Source organism: Homo sapiens, chromosome 5, assembly GCF_000001405.40.
Source record: "Homo sapiens chromosome 5, GRCh38.p14 Primary Assembly".
NCBI classification, from domain to species: Eukaryota; Metazoa; Chordata; class Mammalia; order Primates; family Hominidae; genus Homo; species Homo sapiens.
Genome location: NC_000005.10, coordinates 169,229,254 through 169,250,131, shown reverse-complemented (window position 1 = coordinate 169,250,131; position 20,878 = coordinate 169,229,254). Strand labels below are relative to the sequence as shown.

Sequence of the window (20,878 nt, the reverse complement as noted above, 5' to 3'; positions counted from 1 at the left end):
ATAGCAGGTGACTGAAGGAGTTGGAATTGGAACCTAGACTCTGTGCTTTCTAACCTCCATGCAGTGCCACTGTGTATTCACATTATAGAAAGCTAAGAAAACTAAGACAATGATAGTCTACCCATTTTGTAAATGCAGCACTGATAATGTGGGGGCTTGTCAGAGTTTCTGTTATGTACACATGTGTGGGGACATGGGGAATCTGAATCCTGGGACTCCAGCTTGCAGATGCTCTCCACACCGACATGTTCTCCGTCTTTGGTCTCAAACACTCTCCTCTCACCACCCTCAAAGGGAAGGCACACCCTGTGCCAAGTCTTTTGCCCCAGCAGCCATGTATCTGTCAAGTAACTGGTAGTTCTGACAAGGTGTGCGTGGATCAGAATCGAGACTGAGATCAGGGTGGGGGAATTCCATGGTTCAGTTTTAGGGCGATTGTTATTGAAGAGGTATAGGTAGCAACTCTTGATTCTATGTCATTTGCCAGGTTAAAAAATAGATGCTTGTTTACCTTCTCACTTTATTTTTTTTTATTTATTTCCCCTGCATCTGTGAGAGATTTCCTTTTATATTTCACCTAATGCTTCATTTTCTAACAAAGTCAAAAACAACCCTTGATTTTCTTAGCGTTACATCAGAAAGACTAATAAAAACTCCAATTTTCATATCTGCTTTCTGCAAATAGAAAGTTTAAAATAATCACAAAAGATTGTTTTAATATCCCCTGGATGGTCTACAACATTCCTTTGACTACAGTTTATCTTTTCAGTTAATTGGTACATTCCTCTTATTTTGATAAGCAATGCCAAAAAGCCTTCCCCTACCCCCCATCCCCCAGTAGACTATTAATATACTCTGTTTCATTATCTTCCTTATCAACTCAAAGACAATCCCATTCAAGTGGCCCTTTATTACTGTGAAAGAATCTGCCTGGTGGAATAGCTGAAATGCTTTCTAACTAACACCAATAAAATATCCAGACATTTTTACCATATTTTTCCTCAATCGATTCTTTTTAGCTGAGTAACCTAGACAACTATCTTTTTTAAAAAGATTTTTTTCACACCTTGGCACATTCCCCATATCTGTTTCTTATTTACAATTTCTAGAGAAGCTAGAAAAGATTCAGTAGTCTTGAAAAATTGGCCACCCAACAGTTTCTGTGTCAAACTGTTAATATGGGCAAAAGCAGATAAAATGGAGATTGAGGAACTTCAGTCTCAACCCAGGGCAATTTTCCCCAAATGAAGAGCATTTAAGGAGAAGATAGAAGAATTGCCCAGGACATTTTTTTTTCTCCCATGGGATGGGAGTAGGAAAAAGTCTCTTCTGGTGGTATCAATTATGTCCCATTTCTTGGCAGTCTAAGGGCTCTGCTATGCTCACAATGTGGGAGCCAGCTTTATCCCAAATGGGGTTAATAAAAAAGTTAAACTCCACCCCAGCCGTCATCACATGGGGGGCGATTTCCGATCCTGATCCAGTGCTAAAGCTAAAAAAATAACAATGCCAAAAAAGCTGAAAATGAACACAGGCTCTGTTCTAATTCAGAACAGACTCCAGCCATGGACAGCCTTTCTGGGTGTCCAGCCCTTCCCGGATTCCCCTGTCTGAAAATGTGGGGAAGGTATCAGTGGCTTTTAGTGCATGCTCCTGGCTTGCATCTCAGCCCAGAAGTCTGGATGGGAGGGTCTTAGCTCATTCATTCACTGATCCATTTATTCATCAAATATCGATGATTTGTTGAGCCTCTGATTGCCAGGTTCTAGGCTGGAATGTGATGGAACTAGGAAGTAGATCTGGAAGGGATGTGGATACTTGGTCAGTGAGGGTCCCAGCAGAAAAGAGGGCAAATGAGGAGAGCGAAGTAAAGACTTATTTAGCGGTGTGGGCAAGATTAAGAGAAACGTAGAGGAGATAGTGTAGTTCCTTGAGGCTAGAGTCAAAACGGGGTCACTACTGTCCCCTGGGCCTTAAGGAGCACAGGGAGGAAGTGGTTATCAGAGCCTGGCAAAAGTAGGGACTGCTTGACAGAAGCTGTGGTCTTAGGTAGAGGGATGCAGTCAGCCTGAAGTGGCTTGGCAGGGAAGGAGAAGAGTAAATCCCCCAACCACACTCTTCCTCCACCCTCTGATCTCCTGCCGGTGACTCTCTTTGGCTGAACCTGACAGGAATCCAGAAGTCAAAAAACTTCTTGATGGTCTTGATGGCTAGATGTGGTGGCTCACGCCTGTAATCCCAGCACTTTGGAAGGCCAAGGTGGGTGGATTGCTTGAGCTCAGGAGTTCAAGACCAGCCTGGACAAGGCTGCCCAGGCTGGGCAACATCGTAAAACCCTGTCTCTATGTCCCCTCCTAAAAAAAATTAGGTGGGTGTGGTGGCATGCGCCTATAGTCCCAGCACCTTGCACCACTGCACTCCAGCGTGGGTGACAAAGTGAGACCTTGTCTTGGAGGGAAAAAAAAAACTTCTTGATGAAGCCAATAAAAGTCAGCTTTCCAGGGCCTGCACAAGGTGGAAACGGTGTATCTCATATAGATATCCTTGCATCTCTTCTATTCCCATCTCTGAAAGAAGCTTGAAGTGTTAGATTCATTAGCACAGAACTAAGATTCATTATAGAAGGGCTGGGTTAGGCTCCCTCAGAAACCCAGAGGGAATGTGGTACTTACAATACCCTAGAGTTGGTCCTTGTCATCCAGCAAGGAAATAATGACTACAAAGTCTGTGACTGATTTGATTGGTGGATGGATAGTAAAAACTTAGCTCAGCAAACCTCCAGTCAGTAGTGTTGAAGTGGGACCCTATTTAGCGTGACGTGCTAGTGTGAGACTATTAGCATTCCAAGGCCCTCCTTGCATATGGTGGAATGGAAAAGGAAGACGAGAAGGGAAAAACATTTTTTTTTTTTTTTTTGAGACAGAGTCTTGCTCTGTCACCCAGGCTGGAGTGCAATGGTGCAATCTTAGCTCACTGCAACCTCCACCTCCCGGGTTCAAGTGATTCTCATGTCTCAGCCTCCTAAGTAGCTGGGATTACAGGCACATGCTTAATTTTGTATTTTTAGTAGAGACAGGGTTTCACCTTGTTGATCAGGCTGGTCTCGAACTCCTGACCTCGTGATCTGCCTGCCTGGGCCTCCCAAAGTGTTGGGATTACAGGCGTGAGCCACTGTGCCCAGCCTTTTTTTTTTTTTTTTTTTTTTTTTTTGAGACAGAGTCTTGCTCTGTCACCCAGGCTGGAGTAGTGCAGTGGTACGATCTTGGCTCACTGCAACCTCTGCCTCCTGGGTTCAAGCAATTCTCCTGCCTTAGCCTCCCAAGTAGCTGGGATTACAGGCATGCACCACCACACCCAGCTCATTTTTGTATTTTCAGTAGAGACAGAGTTTCACCATGTTGGCCAGGCTGGTCTTGAACTCCTGACCTCCTGGTCCACCTGCCTCAGCCTCCCAAAATGCTGGTATTACAGGAGTAAGCTACTGCACCCGGCCAACATTTCTTAAGCCTCTAATTGTATAGCAGAACCTGGGCTAGATGATTTACTTATTTATTCCATTTTTGTTCTCGTAAGAACTTTTGCAGTGTTTTATTTTCTCTGTTTTACAAATGAAGAAACTGAATCTGAGAGAGGTTGGCTAGTTAACCCACTCTTATATCATCAGCTAATGTGCAAGCAAAACAGGGCTTCTAAACTAAATCTACTATGCTCACCAGACTGGGAGTTAGAAGGCCCACCCTACCTGGCTGTGGGAATTGGCATAAATAATTTCTCCTCGAGCAAGTCTTTTAGCCTCTCCCTTCAATCGTTTCTATAGGTGTTAAGTGAGGAGCTTGTAAGGGGCCAGAAGTAATAGAAATGTGAGAAGCAGAGCAGATGAGGACATGGCAAACTGTGGGGCTGGGGACCCTCGCCTGACCAGTTCTACTTCTGGTCAATGGATATTTGGAAATGTGAGAGCTGATTTGTCAAAAGGAGTTTCTTTTGCGGGGTGTGGGTGTGAGTACATGTGAAATATCTTGATTTTCAACTGTTGGCAACAAATTCACAAAAATGTAAAATATCATCGAGCCCAAACGAAACAGTTACCTGTCCCAGACACATATACAATCGGTGTGTGCCATGGCCCAAAGTCTTCTATAGGTTTTCATTCATTCAGTAAGGATTTATGAAGTGCCTGCTGTGCTAGGCAACTGTGTTAGGACTGGGAGTAGGATGATGGACAGAATGTCTATCTTCTTGCTCCTTAGGCATAGTGGGGAAGATAGACTTGGGAACTAAACACAAGGGCCCAAGTGTTAAGGCTGAGAAGTGCAGGAGGTTATGAAACATCTAATGGGGAGAGACTGTCATGGAGCATTCAGTTTGATATAAAGATGCAGCCTTCCCAGGGTTGCTCTTCCTCTCCATCTGCCATTTGCTTAGGTGCTTGTGGGTACCTCTCCTCCTGAGTAATCCAGAGGAATCCATAGCCCTTCCGAAACTCCACTTTCTAAAGAAACATTCTCCAATCACAATTGCATCCCCGTTAAGTCCCATTCAGCCACCATGTGCAATCTGTGTCATTTCCCAGCCTAAGGTCAGCCCCCAATGGAAGCTACATAGCTTCATTGTTTCTCTCCCCTGCTGTTCAGCTCATCCATTTAAGCGGCCATTTTTTTTTTAAGTTAGGGAAACAAACATTTCATTATATGCTAAATTCTTTGGATATACTCTATGCGTGAACCAGACTCACTTATACAGAGTGTTTAGGATTTGTAATCACCTGCTTGGAGGACTGAGGCGGGTGAGTGAAGCGTGTGGCTGGAGGGAGGGAGCCTGATCTTTTAGGACCATCATCATGAGATTGGGATTAGCTGGGGTCTCAGTGAGAGGAGTTCCTGGGACCAGGCTGGTTTTCTTAGCGACAGCCAGTCGTTTCACAATAGCCTCACCCTTTCTACTAGGGTGAGCTGGGAAGGCCCTTTTCAATGAAGTATTTTTGAATCCTTGGAGGAGGGAGCTCCCAGGGAAGAGATGCTGAATCTATGTGTGGTTTTTATAAAGAGCAGCTTTTACCTCTTCCTTTTCTGTGCAACATCCTGCAGTGCTTGGGGGGACATTTACTGAGAACATTCTTAAAATAGAGGCATGGAAACCAATCTGTCAGGTAGAAGTGTGCAGGCGGCAAAACCCTGGTTACCGTGACACCAAGCTGGGATATGAGTTATCTTGTCCCATCAGACTGATCCCAGTTGAAGGGACACTGACGATCATGGGAAGGGCTGAGTGACCATGCCTGCATGGCATGAAGCCTAGTATGAGGGTCCCTGAGCCCAGCTTTGTCCTTAGTCATTGCTGTCTCTGTGGTTGTAGGCATCTGGAAGACAACCAGGTCAGCGTCATCGAGAGAGGCGCCTTCCAGGACCTGAAGCAGCTAGAGCGACTGTAAGTACAGTACAGCCTCCTTTCTTAAAGTATTTATTTACATTTAGTGTTTTTTGTTTTGTTTTGTTTTGTTTTTGTAAATTGGCCTTATAACCTTGTTAAAAAAGGTCTCCAGTGTTTAAATAGAATGTTTGCTATTATACTTAAGGCACATTAGATGCATGTTAAAGAAACACTGAGATCCACTTACACTCCTTTTCTGTAAAAGTTGCTAGAATCAGCTTTCAGGGCTTGTTTCCCTTCTTCTCAGGCTTGAGCTCTGTCTTGGTACCTGTATAAGGGGCTGGTTTTTACCCAAGTGTAAACCTTCCCTTCCACGGAGGAGGGAAGTCTGCAGTTATCCCTGCCATGAGATCTGGCATCAGATAGTCCCTAGTCCTCTGCACGGGCAGAAGCTCCCTCCTGAGGCCTTCTCCTCCCTGAGTGTTCTCTGCCCCACTCTTGCGGGGAGAGGAAGGACTGGTGAGTGGGCGCAGCCTTCAGCGCGCTTGTATCTCCTGTGAGTGAGCATCAGCCTGTGTCAAGAAGCCCCCACGTTTCCACGAGAGAATGCATTGCCAGTGGTTTAAAAATAGGCCACTGTTCTGACTCAATGAGAGGGAAAGAGGAAAAGGGATGGGAATGGAAGATGGTTGGAGCCTCCATTTGTTTTGTTGATGAATACTTTTGCAGAAAACTCTTGGATTACTTTGAGGAGAGCTGCTCAGATGGTTAAGTAGGCAACTTCACCTTTCTTCTGTTAATCACATCTGGCAGCTCATAACATCTGGATATTTGCTTTCTGCCCTCTGAGCAGGGATTGTCCCCAAGAGCACTTAGTCATGCTGGTGGGTGGCTCTCTTCAAAGTTCTCTCTGAATCTTGGTTGCCCTGACATTTCAGCCTCTTTCTTCTGCAGTCAGAGGGATGAAGCTGCAACAGCTCACGGCTCTGCCGGCTTCCCTAGAAGAACTGTGTTCTGTTTACCTGTCTGGTTGCCAAATCTCATTTACAGAGGTGGGCTTGGGTAAGGTGGTGTGCTTGTCCCTGACTAGTTAGCTTTGAGATGTGCCATCTTTTCCCCTGGAGTCAATTTATCTGGGGCCACATAAGAACAGGGAAGGTCCCCATTGCACGTCAGTTAGTATTACCCAGAAAAATGCTTTCCTCCCTCTCTGTTGTGTGAACCGTCTCATTTATTGTTCTCCTTCTGGGTCAAATCCCAGCATATGTTCTGCTGGTGTTGGTTTGAAAATATGACATTTATTTCTTGCAAGGGAAAATAATTATAAAAAGAATGAATGTTGTCTCTGTTTACACGTTTATTTTTAAGTTTCTTAACACTCAAGTTCTTCTTATTTAGACCAAAGAGAACATAAAAGTATTTGTTGAACCTGGTTCCTTTGTATGAAATATTCAGCATTTCTACAGAAAAATGAATACGTGGTCCTTTGTGAAAAGGCCACCCCTTGCTTAGCCTTCTGATTAGAAGAGTGAAAACAATTCCCAATTCATTAATTTCCTGGTTTTGGGGAAGGAACTAATTGAGTACCTTGGACATGCCAGGAACTATGCCAGTGTTTTACATGCTATTTGTATTTTTTTATTGCCACAAAAATTCCTATGAGGTGTAATTACCCTCATTTTGCAGATGAAGAAACAGACCCAGAGAGACTGAGTCAAAGAATGGTCAGGAGGGGAGCCAAGATTCAAAGCCACTTCTGTCTGACATGAAAGATGATGTTCTTTCATACTCATGTGCAGCAGATACTAGATGAAGTGTGATCTTTAGTAAGGGCCCTGAGAGTAGCCTCTCGCATAAACATTTAACTCCAGGGAATATCGATGAAATATTTTGGCAAAGCCTCTTTTCTTTGGCTTGGTGAACAAGGCTGAAATACCCATGCATGTCTGGGGAAGTGAATGGATTACAGTTGCAGAGGAAACCTGATTATTTCTCCGTGTTGGTGTATTAGGTGGGGTAATGCTAGCTGCTGTGCTAGATAAACCCTCAAATCTCAGTGACTTAACACAGTGGACGTTTACTTATTCATGTAAAACCCAATATGGGCATTCCTGATAAGGCCTCTCTCCTCCAAGTGGAGACTCAGGGACAAAGTCTTCTTCTTCTCCTCAACTTTACCCTCCTTAAATCTTGGCTTCCAAGGTACCAGTGTTTGTCTGCATCAAGCCAGGAGAAGAGAAAACAGCATGAAAAATTTCACATGGGAAGTTTGCAGATTTCAAGAAGTACATGTCACTTCCAGTCTCACATACTTTGGGCTAGAACTCAGTCATGTGGCCACAGGAAACTACAGAGGCGGGAGGAAAGGTAGTTGAGCTTTGTGCCCAGGAAGTAGAGGAAACAGGCTTAGTGAACAGTTGGCCAATCTCTGACTTCTATTGCAAGTGATCTGAAGAAGTACTTAATCAGGAAGAACATTAGAAACACAGGCAGCTGGGTTCATATACACAGCTGAATAGTCATTCTCATAATACCTTTCAGTGTTAGCAAGAAGGGATGTGTGTGACATTAATCCTGATAGGCGTTAATCTGGTTTTGGTTATTCGTTCTGTTTTCATACAGACTGGGAGATGTAGAATTGGAAAACATAATACATTTGCTATTAATAATATGACGGTGGATTGTGCCTTTCTAGCTCTTTCTCCTGGCTCACCTTATCTGTGTCTTTGTATTTTGTAATAGATAAATCTTTATTGATCACATTCTAAGATAGAGCCTGGAAATAATAGGGGTTATAATACTTCATTTCTGGAGGGTTTATTTCCACTCTGAGTAGTCATTATTGGTTTGTTCTCTTGGGTCTTCCTGGGAAAGGGAAAGGAAGTCTGTCCTCTGGGTCTCAACTTAGAATTCTCTATTCCCCCATGAAAGTACCCTATGCCTCTGGCTGAGTTAGGTACCCCTACTCTCATAACACAGGTGTCTTCCTATCACACCACTTATGACACCATATTTTAATTCCCTGTTTTCTGGATTGTTTCTTCCCAAAACCATGACTGTTGAGGTCAGGATTCATGTCCCATTTAGCTCCTAATCTCACAGACTTGAGCGAGGCATGACAGTAAGTGCTTGAGGAATATTTATTAAAGCGCTTGAGTTTTTGTTCTATATAAGTGATTCTAAGCTGGGCCTAATTTTGCCTTCCAGAGGACACTTGGTAATGTTTAGATACATTTTTGATTGTCACAACTGGGAGATGCCACCCAGCCGATGGGGTATAGGAATATCTCAACATCTTTAAATGCACAGGACGGCCCTACAACAAAGAATTATTCAGCCCAAAATGTCACTAGTGCCAAAGTTGAGAAATTCTGCTCTTTATCATATGTCAGATAGCATGTCAGGCACTTTACATATACCATCTCATGTAATCGATGCAAGAATACTGTGAAGTTAGAATTATCATAAAATATGATGTGATAAAACATGAAACTCAAAGTATCACCTACGAAGTACTTTGCTTAATATATTTACCTAAACCTAATTTAGCTGGATCTCACTTCTGGTTGCCAGAGAGTGGATGGGATATAGGAAAAAGTTAAACCAAGAGGAAACAAACACACTTTGTAAGTGGGATATTCTTTGAGACAGCTGCCCTGATCTTTTAAAAAAGTCAATGTCAAGAAAAACATGGGAGTTGACTTTTAAGTTCAAAAAAAGCTTAGAATAGAATAGAAACAGTACCACAAAATTGGAAGGGTCAATGGAATTAAAATGTTCTAAGATCCTTAAATTATTCAGGAAGTAATAGTGCTAATATTTATTGCCTTATTAAGTCAAAGATGTATGTTGAAATCTGTAGCATAGCCTCTAAAAAAAAAAAAGCCAAAAAATTATGATAGTCTCAGGGGAAAGGAGCACAGTATGATACAAAATATGAATTAAAATGAAGGATAAAAGGGAAGGAAAATGAACATAGAACAAATAGACAACAAACAGAAAGATGATACATTTAAACATGAATATATCATATTACCTTATATGTAAATGCACTAATTCTCCAATTAAAAAACATAGATTGTCAGTGTATTTAAAAAATACCAAACATATACTTTTTACAAAAGAATAACATTAAACATAAGGATAGAGAAAACTTGAAAGTAAAAAAAAAAAAAAAAAAAAGAAAATGATAGCATGAAAACACTAACCGAAAGGTTAGTGTCACTCTATTAAAGATAATATAGACTTTAAAGAAAATATATTAGATATAAAGAGGGAATTTTGTAATGATAAAATAGGAAATATCCCAGGAAGATATACCAAATCTGTATTTGTATGTGTCTAAAAACATAGCCTGAAAATATGGAAAGCAAATATTGACAGAACTAAAAAAAAAATAGACAAATTTATAATCATAGTTAAGATACACTTTTTGGTAATTAATAGAACAAGGAGGTACAATTCTTGGTAAAAATATAGAATATTAAATAACAATATTTGTAAACCTGATGTAACTGATATATAGAGAACACTCTAAACAACATAGAATAGACATCTTTTCAAGGGCATATGAAAGTTTTATTATATACTGATCTAGAAAGCAAGTCAACAAATACCAAAGGATATCATATGGAGCATGTTCTCTGTCAGCAGGAATAATCAAGAAGTTAATAAGAAAAGTAGAAAAATCCAAAATATTTTGAGATTCAGTAATATACCTCTAAATACTCCGAGTTGAAGAACATATCACAGTGGAAATTAGAACATATTTTTCTGAATGTTAATAAACATACAATGTCTCACAATGTGTGGACTGCAGCCAAAGCCATGCTCAGAGGAAAATGTATAGCCTTTAAGCTATATTATTCAATTCATGGTATATATTATGTATAGTATCTATTTTAAAAGAAGCACATATCTTGATTAAAATATCCTCCTTACAAAGTTAGGGCAAGAACAACAGAACAGAAGAAAGGAAATTATTAAGAGCAGAAGTATAAGAAATAGAAATGAATGTATAATAGAAAAATTCTAAAAAGCCAAACTAATTCTTGAAGCAACTAAAATTACAGACACTGACAAGACATATCAAAACACAAAAGACTAAATTACCAACATGAAGAATAAAAAGGGGGATATTAGTATGGATATTATAAATATTAAAGTGATAATAGGAGCAGACTTTGAACAAGTTTATCTTAATGATTTTAAAGAGTAAATGAAATTGAAAATAGAAACAGGAAGGAATAGAAAATCTGTCTTATATCAATTAGAGAAATTAAATATTTAAAACATTCCATCAAAAAATCTAGGCTCAGATGGCTTTAGCAATAAATTCTAACAAAGTTTTAAGGAATAAAGTATAGCAACTTAATACAAACTCATTCTGTTAAAAGAATGAACATTTGTCTATTTAGCCAGCATAACCTTGAGAACAAAACCCAGTAAGGACATTTCAAGAAAAAAATATAAACCAATGTGATTCATGAATATTTTTACAAATTTCCTAACAAAATACTAGCAAATTAATTCAGTTATAGGTGAAAAGGATAATATATTCCAACCAAATTTAGCTTATTCAAAGAAGGCAAGGTTGGTTTAATAGTGGAAATTTCACCTCTCAAATAAAAACATGCTGAAAAACTAGGACAGCAAAACCAAAGACATACACAACATCTACAATAAAATTATTTGGAGCAGTAATTCAGTGAATCCCCAGTAGATGGTTTCAAGACTGTTGTGGTATCTCATCTGTGTGGGAGAAAGCAGAGGGAAGGCAGCTACGGTTCTTAGGACCCTGAGAAGAGGGCATCCCTTAAATTACCCATCTCTACTCATTGGAAAATACAGTGGCCAATCTGAGAAAAGCTGCAAAATATAGAAGAGAGTTCTATCAGATCCAATTCATGGTAAGTACAAAGGAACCATGATGTAATAATGACTGATAATACTTGGAACATTCTGGGGCCTATAAACTCTTCAAACAAAAATGAGGCTCTTTTCCTAGGAAAGGTCTAACATTGGTAAGAAACTTCTGGGAGCAGTTGATCAGAAAAGGAACAATAGTAGAAATAAAAAGAGAACTCCTTGAGAAGTATAATGTTAGAATTCACCAGAAGAGTCAAATCTTGGAAAATACAAGGCCATGTTTTTCATTGCTTTGCAAAAACCAGAATGAGCTCTAGAGTCTTAAATCTTAAAAAAAAAAAAAAAAAAAAGCTATTTCACTGCTCCATTCTAAAACTACAGGGAAATTTATTTCACTTAAAAAATAAGCAGTTAAAAGGATTCTGATTGAAGCCCATATAAAGGTTTTTAAATAAGAAAAAGTATGAGAAGCAGAACTTTCTTAGAAACAATGAAAACATATAAAAGGAGATACCCACAAAGCAAATAAACTGTAATAGAATAGTTGAAAACTGGCTAGAAGAATTTAAGAACATATAAATTATAAGAGTACAACATAAGTCTGAATTTCAAAAACTCAGAAATTTAATAAGAGAAATGTAGGATTTGAAAGGAGGGGTGAAGAACTCAAAAAAGAACTTAACAATAGAAGTACTTCAAAATAAGTACTGCCAATACAATACTGAAGAAAAACTAACTTGTAGAAATTACACTATCCAGTTTCAAGACTTACTGTAAAGCTATAGTAATCCAGACAGCATGATATTTGTGAAAAAATAGACACACACATCAACGGGACAGAATAGCGAGCCCAGAAATAGACCTATGCAAATACAGTTAACTGATTTTTGACAAATGTGTAAAGATAATTCAAGGGAGAAGGAATAATCTTTTCAACAAGTGGTGCTGATACAGAAAAATGAATCTGGATACAAATCTTACATCTTACACAAAATTGAAGTCGAGATGATTCATAGACCTACATGTAAAATGTAAAACTATAAAGAAAATATTTTCAAAACATGTATCTGATAAAGAATTTATATGCAAAATATACAAAGAGATTTAAAAACTCAACAGTAAGCAGATACCACTCTCCCCCTATAAAGGAAAGAAATGGACAAAAGATTCAAATAGGCACTTCATTGAAGAGGATATACAGCTGGCAAGTAAGCATACAAAAACATACTCAACAGCTTCTTTCATTAGGGTGATGCAAATAGGTGTGTAGTGAGATACTACTACACACCTATTACAGTGGTGAAAATTTAAAAAATTGACAATGCTAATTGCTGGTGAGGTGGAGTAACAGGAACTCTCATTCATTGCTGACAGTAATACAAAATGGTACAACCACTTTGGAACACAGTTTAGCAGCTTTTTAAAAAGTTAAACATAGTCTTATACAATCCAGATCTATGGTTGCTAGGGATTCAGAGCAGAAGAGGGAACCGAAAGTTGAATAAAGCACAGTGGGGGATGGTGGGGTTTAGGATGGTAAAACTATGCTATATGATAATGAAATGGTGGATACGTGACACTATGCATTTATCAAAACCTATAAAATTTTACAACACAAAGAGTGAACTATAATGCGTGCAAATTTTTAAAAAGTCATGTAGGAGAGTGGGGTATCCCGGGATGGAATGCAGACTGTGATGAATGTATGCATCAGCGTCACTGAACTTAAGGGAGCAAAGGTGCTGACCTAAGCTGTGGAAATGAGTGGAGTCTGTAAGACTAAAGGCAAAAGGAACTGCACAGAAGAACTGTACTCTAGTTGGTAAAGTTGTTTCCCCTGGGGATATGGGTTAACAGTTCTGAGACACTGTACACGTATACTGGAATTGAACAATAGATGGTGGATGGTGAGGACAGATTTCTTGCTGTTGAAATGGGTGGTTAGAAACAAACAGTGGAGAAAGCTAGAATATGTGGGAATGGACTAGAGTTTGAGACATCAGTATCAACTCATGTTTAGCCTACTGTAGGTACTTTTATTTAATATCAATGAATATATACATAGAAATATTTTTGATACATGTATTTATATGAATTAATATGCAAAAAATATTTCCTTGCTCTGGCTGGGTGTGGTGGCTCACACCTGTTATCCCAGCACTTTTGGAGCCCAAGGTGGGTGGATCATGAGATCAGGAGATTGAGACCATCCTGGCTAACATGGCGAAAACCCGTCTCTACTAAAAATACAACAAATTATCCAGGCATGGTGGCATGTGCCTATAGTCCCAGCTACTCAGGATGCTGAGACAGGAGAATCACTTGAACCCAGGTGGCAGAGGTTGTAGTGAGCCAAGATCACACCACTGCACTCCAGCCTGGGTGACAGGGAGATTCAGTCAAAAAAAAAAAAAACAAAACAAAACACTTTTCTTGCTCTGTCAGCAAGAGGGCCTGGAAGCAACAACACTGGAGTAGCAATGAGCATGCCCAGCACCCAGTTGATGATTTTTAAAATCATTTTCACACAAAAAGGAATTAAAGCGTCTTGGAAAAATGGTTTATTCTAGGACTGAGGCATGTTGTTGTGCCATAAAGGGAGTGCTCAAAACAAAATGTGAAACCCCACAATTTGGGGAGTATGTCAAAAGGACGTAAAAGCAAACAAAGAATTCTTAGTGGCCAAAGCTGGAACAATTTGAGTAACAAAATAATTATTGAATTATTACCAAAGTTTAAATATCCATGAGTCCATACTCACAGAAATAAATGAGTAAATAAATAAATGGAATAAAGAGAAAGATCCCATACAGAAAAATTCTAACTAATTTGTTGTGTAGGTTCTCTGCCCTCTAGGAGATTGAACCTAACTCACTGTTCCTTAAATGTGGACTTCACAGAGACACTTCCTTCGAAAGAGTTCTATGTGAAAAGGGAAGGGAGTGGGCAGTAGCTTTACAATGGAGAAATATGACACACACCACCTTAGCCGTGTGATCAAGGTCAGTGTCAACATTGATAAATCATTTGATAGTATGTACTTTCGATATGATGCAATGAAAATATTACTTTGTATCTGTGATCTTCCTCCCCGAAACCCATCATCTCAGTCTTAAGTGAAAAACATCAGACAAATCTCTATTGAGAAACTTCATAAAAAATACCTGAATAGTCCTCCTCAAAACTGTTAAGGTCATGAAAAACAAGGGAAATCAGAAAAACTGTCACAGCCAAATGGAGCCTGAGGAGACATAATGACTAAATGTAATGTTGTATCCTGGATGGGATGCTGAAATAAACACAGAAAGTAAAAACTAAGAAAATCTGAAAAAAGTATTGACTTTAGTGAATAATAAATGCAACAGGATTGCTTCATTAATTATGACAACTGTATTATATAAGATGTTAATAGGGGAAATTGGGTATGGGCTATATGAGAACTCTCAGTACTATCTTCCCAGCTTTTATGTAAATCAAAATCTATTCTAATATAAAAAGTTTTTATGCTGACCCATGAAACCCTTCTTGATTTACAGACTTACGAGCAAAATAAATGTTTTTTATGCCAAAAATACATACATATATTTTAATCTAGATGGATTTTAAAAAGAAATGGATGAATACTGCTTTAAAAGAAATAGAAGATGGAAAGAGTATTCTTAAGTCAACAAGAAATTAATATAGAGATAAAGGGATTTAAGAGAAAGTGAGAGTTAGGCAAAGAGGTTCTAACAAACTTATAATAGGAATCTCTGAGGAAGAAAACAATGGAACAAAACAAAACTGATAGTACTGATAATTACTATTCAAGAAAATGTTCTTAAAAGATGATTAGAAGGTACCTCGAGGAAGTGCACTGAATGTTTGGAAAAGTCAACTCTGAGGGGTCAAAACAAAATATGTTCTAATAAACTATTACATTTTAAAGGAAAAAGTCCTTAAGCATTCAATCAGAGACTCATAATGAAAGAAAATTGGATTTCTTGCCTACTTTTTGATGCCAAAACCTTATGTCAGAATACAAGTGAATAACCTAAAAAAATAAAATGTGAGCAACAGCATTTATATTTAGCCTTGCTGACATTCAAGTGCAGTGACTGCAGACTACCTATTATGAACATTCAAGAACTTAGGCCTCATGGTGCCCATGGACACTTTCTAAGGAGTCTACAAAGAACAAGCTTCAGGCTGGATGCGGTGACTCACCCATGTAATCCCAGCACTTTGGGAGGCTGAGGTAGGCAGATCACTTCAGGTCAAGAGTTCCAGACCAGCCTGGCCAACCTCGATGAAACCTCGTCTCTACCAAAAATAAAAAAAAAATTAGCCAGGTGTGATGGCACACGCCTGTAGTCCCAGCTACTCAGGCTGAGGCTGGAGAATCACTTGAACCCAGGAGGTGGAGGTTGAGGTGAGCCAAGATTGTGCCACTGCACTCCAGCCTGGGACAGAGTGAGACTGCATCTCAGAAAAAACAAAAACAACAAGCTTCATACAACCGAAAGACTGGAGAGACATTGGTATAGGACAGACACAGTCAACACTTCCAAAAATCCTAGAAGTTGGTGCGGAAATGTGACTGCGTCTGGAATTCTGTGGAATGAGAGTAGAAGTGACATGCCCTTCATGACCCTCCATACTTGTACTCTTTCCCTATGTTGGCTAAATTGACAGCACTCTAAGGAGGATGTAGAGCTACAAAGTAGAAGGATCCAGGGCCCCTGCTGACCTGAATTTGGCTGTGACATGAACAACAAATATACTTTTATTGTTTCAAAAATAAAGATGTAATTAATCACATTAACAGAAGAAATAAGAAAAGTCATTTCCTCTTCTCAGATACTGAAGAAAGTATTTAATAAAATTCAATACTAATTTGTGATTTAAAAGCATTTTACATATTAAGAATAAAAGGGAAATTCTTTACCTAAAAAACCTACAGCAAACATCGAAGTTGATGGTGAAATATTGAAAACGTTTCTCCTAACAGAACTAGACTCCTGCCGTCATAGCTTCTATTAAACACTGTATTGGAAATTCTGGTTCTGGCAATGATTCGAAAAATAGGAAAGGAAGGAAGGGAGAGAAAAGGGAGGGAAGGAGAGAGAGGAGCCAAAAAACCACAGAACCAAGGAAAAAGAATGGATATAAAGATTGGAATAAAACAAATTTAAGTGCCATTATTTAAATGATGGATTACATGAAAAATATAAAATAATCTACACATAAACTATCAGAATTCTTTTTTAAATTTTAAGTTCCGGGGTACGTGTGCGGTATGTGCAGGTTTGTTACATAGGTAAACGTGTGCCATGGTGGCACATTAGATTGTAAATTGTGTTGTTAGGTGCACAAAGGCTGCATGTATCAACCCATCACCTAAGTATTAAGCCCAGCACACGTTAGCTATTCTTCCTAACTATCAGAATTCTTAAGTAGATTTCTAAGGTCACTGGACACAAGGTCAATACACCAAAAAAAAAAAAAAAGACAATTTCTATATACCAACAACAAACAATTGGGAAATTAAAAAAAACTATGTTTACAATAGCACCAAAAAATACCAATGCCGACCGGGCGCGGTGGCTCACGCCTATAATCCCAGCACTTTGGGAAGCCGAGGTGGGCAGATCACGAGGTCTGGAGATCGAGACCATCCTGGCCAAGATGGTGAAACCCCATCTCTACTAGTAATAAAAAATTAGCTGGGCGTGGTGGTGCGCACCTGTAGTCCCAGCTACTCGGGAGGCTGAGGCAGGAGAATCGCTTGAACCCAGGAGGCGGAAGTTGCAGTGAGCCAAGATTGTGCCACTGCATTCCAGCCTGGTGACAGAGCGAGACTCTATCTCAAAATAAATATATATATGTGTATATATACCAGTGCCTAGGAATAAGTCTAATGAAAGATGCACAGGCCTTAACACAGAAAGACAGACATTACTGGAAGAAATTAAAGATGAGTCAAATATATGGAGTGCTGCATGGTGTTCATGTATTGGAATACTTAACATTGCAAATATGGCAACTCTCTCCAAATTGATGGATGGATTCAGGGCAGTCCTAATCAAAATGCCAGCAGCTTGTTGTTGTGGAAATTAAGATGATGCTAAAATTTATATAGGAATGCAAATGACCAAGAAAAGCAAAGACAGTCTAGAAGACCCAGATATAGAAGGATACTTGATTTTTAACAAAGGTGGCTCTGTGAGGCCACCTGGAATGGATGGTCTGTCTAAAAAATTGTGCTAGAGTAATTGGGTAACCATATGGAAAACTTGTTCTGTTGATCCCTACTAATGCCATTCATAAATCAATTACAAGTGGATTTTAGAAAGATAAAGACACTTCTAGAAAATAACAATATTTTTTGGCCGGGAGTGCTGGTTTGTGCCTGTAATCTCAGCACTTAGGGAGGCTGAGGTGAGTGGATCACCTGAGGTCAGGAGTTTGAGACCAGCCTGACCAACATGGCGAAACCCCATCTCTACTAAAAATACAAAAATTAGGCAGGTGTGGTGGCATGTGCCTGTAATCCCAGCTACTTGGGAGGCTGAGGCAGGAGAATCGCTTGAACCCAAGAGGCGGAGGTTGCAGTGAGCCAAGATCGCACCACTGCACCCTAGTCTGGGCAACAGAGCAAGGCTCCATCTCAAAAAAATAACAGAATATTTTCGTGGCCTTGAGGTAGTTGATATTTCATAAGCAAGGCACAGAAGACGCTAAAGAGAAAAGATGATTTGGACTACATTAAAATAAATAATTCGCCAAAATACATTATTGAAAGAACATGTCCCAGAGTGGGTGAAGATATTGGCAGTGCATATAACTGACAAAGGACTTATTTTAGAATTGAGAAGAACTCCTACAAATCAATAAGAAAAAGACAAATGACTCAGTAGAAAAATGGGTGAGAGTTTTGGACACTTCGCAAAAGAAGATAGAGAAGTGGCCAATGATCGTATGAAAAGTTGCTTAGTGTGTCATTAGTCTTTAGGGAAATATAGAATAAAACCACAATGACACATACCACACACTAATTGGAATGGCTAAAACTTACAATATCAAGTGTTGGTGATGAGGTGAAACAACTGCATTTACCATATACTGTTACGGGAGTTATTGATACAGTTACTCTCGAATATGGGCAGTACCAATCAGAGCTGAATGTACATGTACCTTCCACTCTTGGGTACATACCCTACAAAAAGACATACACAGGAATGTTCATATCAGCACTATTTGTAGTAGCCCCAGACTGGAAATAAGCCAAATACTCGTTGACATTAGAATAAATCAATAGACTGTGGTGTATTCATGTAATGGAATTGACTGGTAGAAAAAGAAAACAATGTGCAAAAAAAACTGCTGTCTGTAACCACATGGTAAATCTCAGAAGCATAATCGGGGACAAAAACCGGACATAAAAGAATATATATTACCTGATTCCATTTGTGTAAACTTCAAAAGCAGGCAAAACTAATCTATGGTGTTAAAAGCCGAGGTGGTGTTAAGCAATGGGGAGTTGCGAATGGAGAGGGGCACTAAGGGATTTCTGGGGCGTGTCATCAGCTGTTTCTTGATCTGGGTAGAGGTTTCATGGATCTGTTCAGTTGGTGAACATGCTTCAGGCTGTACAAATTTGATTTGTACATTTTTCTGTACGTGTTATACTTCAAAAAATTTATTTTAAAAAGAGACTCAAGAGACAGATATAACAACCAAATTTCATGCATGGCTCTGACTTGAAGCTGTGAGAAAACCCATACAGATATGGGACATTGCAAACTCCACAGAGACAGTGGTCTCAGCTGGGAAGTGATTTTTTTCCTAATCAATGTTACAATGAAGGGACATTGAAGGAAATGCCATTATTCAAGGATCTGCTGCACTTTAAAATGGTTCAGTAAATAAAATAAAACAAATGTAGCAAAATGAAAATAATTGTTGAATCTAAGTGGTGGATATAGGGATACTCAAAATATATTTATCCTTTTCTGTAAGTTTGACCATTTTCGTGACTGAAAACTTTTTAAGATGCATATTTAAAAAAAAAGTTTTATTTTGGCAGAGGAAAAAATCTGAAAGTCAGATAGTTAAAGAAATTTACCATTCTGAGATTTGAATCCAGGACTGTTCTGAATCCAGGTACCAGGAAAAGAAAACAACCTTCAGGAGTCAGAAGGAGATTGAGATATTGCATTATCCAATTTCCTCCTCTTACAGAAGAGGAAATAGGCTAGAAAGGAATTTGACTTTCATGAAATTTTAATGCGGAGTGCAACGTTTAAAGTTTAAGTTGCCTTGGTGTGTTAGCTCCGTTTTTCCAAAGAACAGAAAAACCATGACGTTTTTAGCTCTAACCCAGAGTTCCATTTACTCTTTCATTAGATGTGAAACAAATAATTAGATTACATATTTAAATGCATATGTGTGGCAAATATATTCTTTTAAATTACTGCAAGAGTTATTTTGCTCCTAGTAGAGAGGAATCGGCTTCTGTTATGTGCGTTATGTTCCTTAGAGGTTTAGTGGGTTCTAGCCTAAGTATGCAGAGATTCAGAGCATGAACTTTAGAGTTAGGATAAACCTGGATTTGAATCTGGATAAATCTTCTCATTTCACTTACCAGTCATGAGATTGCAGGCAACTTTCTTAGCAGCTGCGAGTAACATCTGTTAAATGGGGTTAATCATTGTTCAGTGGAGTTACCTTTTAAAGAGAGACCTGTTTGTAGAGTTAGCATGGAGGATAAAAATAGAATATATTCAAAATGATTGACAGGTATAGCTCCTAGAAACAAGACATGTAGGGCCATGTATACTGAGAAGTACCATTGATTACTGAAATTACACTCCATGAAATGCTTATACAGTGAGCAGCAGATGAGGACTGTGAGACCGAAGGAAGAGCAGATTCACATCCCTCGTCTCAGGGTCATTTGCGGGCACAGGTTCATTGAGAAGAATGGCTGTAGGATCTTCGGCACCTCGAATTTCTCACCTTCTCTTACTCCTTCCCCCTTAATTTTTGCTGGGTGCCTATGCTCAGGTTCACTTACAAGTTAAATGCATGTACGCCATGCCTCCATTAACCCACTTTATGAGGCTCTTATGAGATTACCTATATGAAGTGCTTCATTTTGAGATCGGCACAGCCATCACTCAGTGATTTCAGCACTGCTCCTCTCCCTCATCATCATCACGGCCCAAGAGTGATGAATAAGGAGAGAGAGAGAGAGAGAGAGAGAGAGAAGAATTTATTTGACTAAGTACGCTTTACATTTTTACTCATTGGCTTTAGTCCATCTCTTAGGTCAAACATCCCATGCCAAATACATACCAAACTGGCATTCTTTCCCTGTTCTCCCATCAGAAGCTGCTGAAGCATGCTTCTTCTCATCTGAAAAATGAACTTAATAGTCTTTTATGTCTGATAGGAATGAGGGTGTTGTCAGAAAGTATGTATGTGTTAAAGTACTCTAAAAAGACATACAGACAAAACAATGCGAGTTATCGTTCTTATTTCTATATTACTATCCTTAGTGGGTAAGCCCACATTAATCTGTTGAGAGTTGGGCCTCGCTCTTTCCCCTCAATGTCTTGAAGATCAAAAAAACTAGATTTTAGTTTTGTTTTATTCT

The 20,878-nt window shown here is 39.1% G+C and overlaps 1 protein-coding gene across 3 annotated transcripts in view; it reads left to right on the top strand.

The window, feature by feature from the left end:
* The window catches only part of SLIT3 (slit guidance ligand 3), a 639,400-nt gene that overhangs the window by 51,008 nt on the left and 567,514 nt on the right, over positions 1-20,878 (top strand). For all 3 annotated transcript variants that reach the window (NM_003062.4, NM_001271946.2, XM_017009779.1), the window contains exon 3: positions 5,356-5,427. In NM_003062.4, coding sequence (NP_003053.2) covers positions 5,356-5,427 — 72 coding nt within the window. The remainder of the gene's footprint in view (positions 1-5,355; positions 5,428-20,878) is intronic.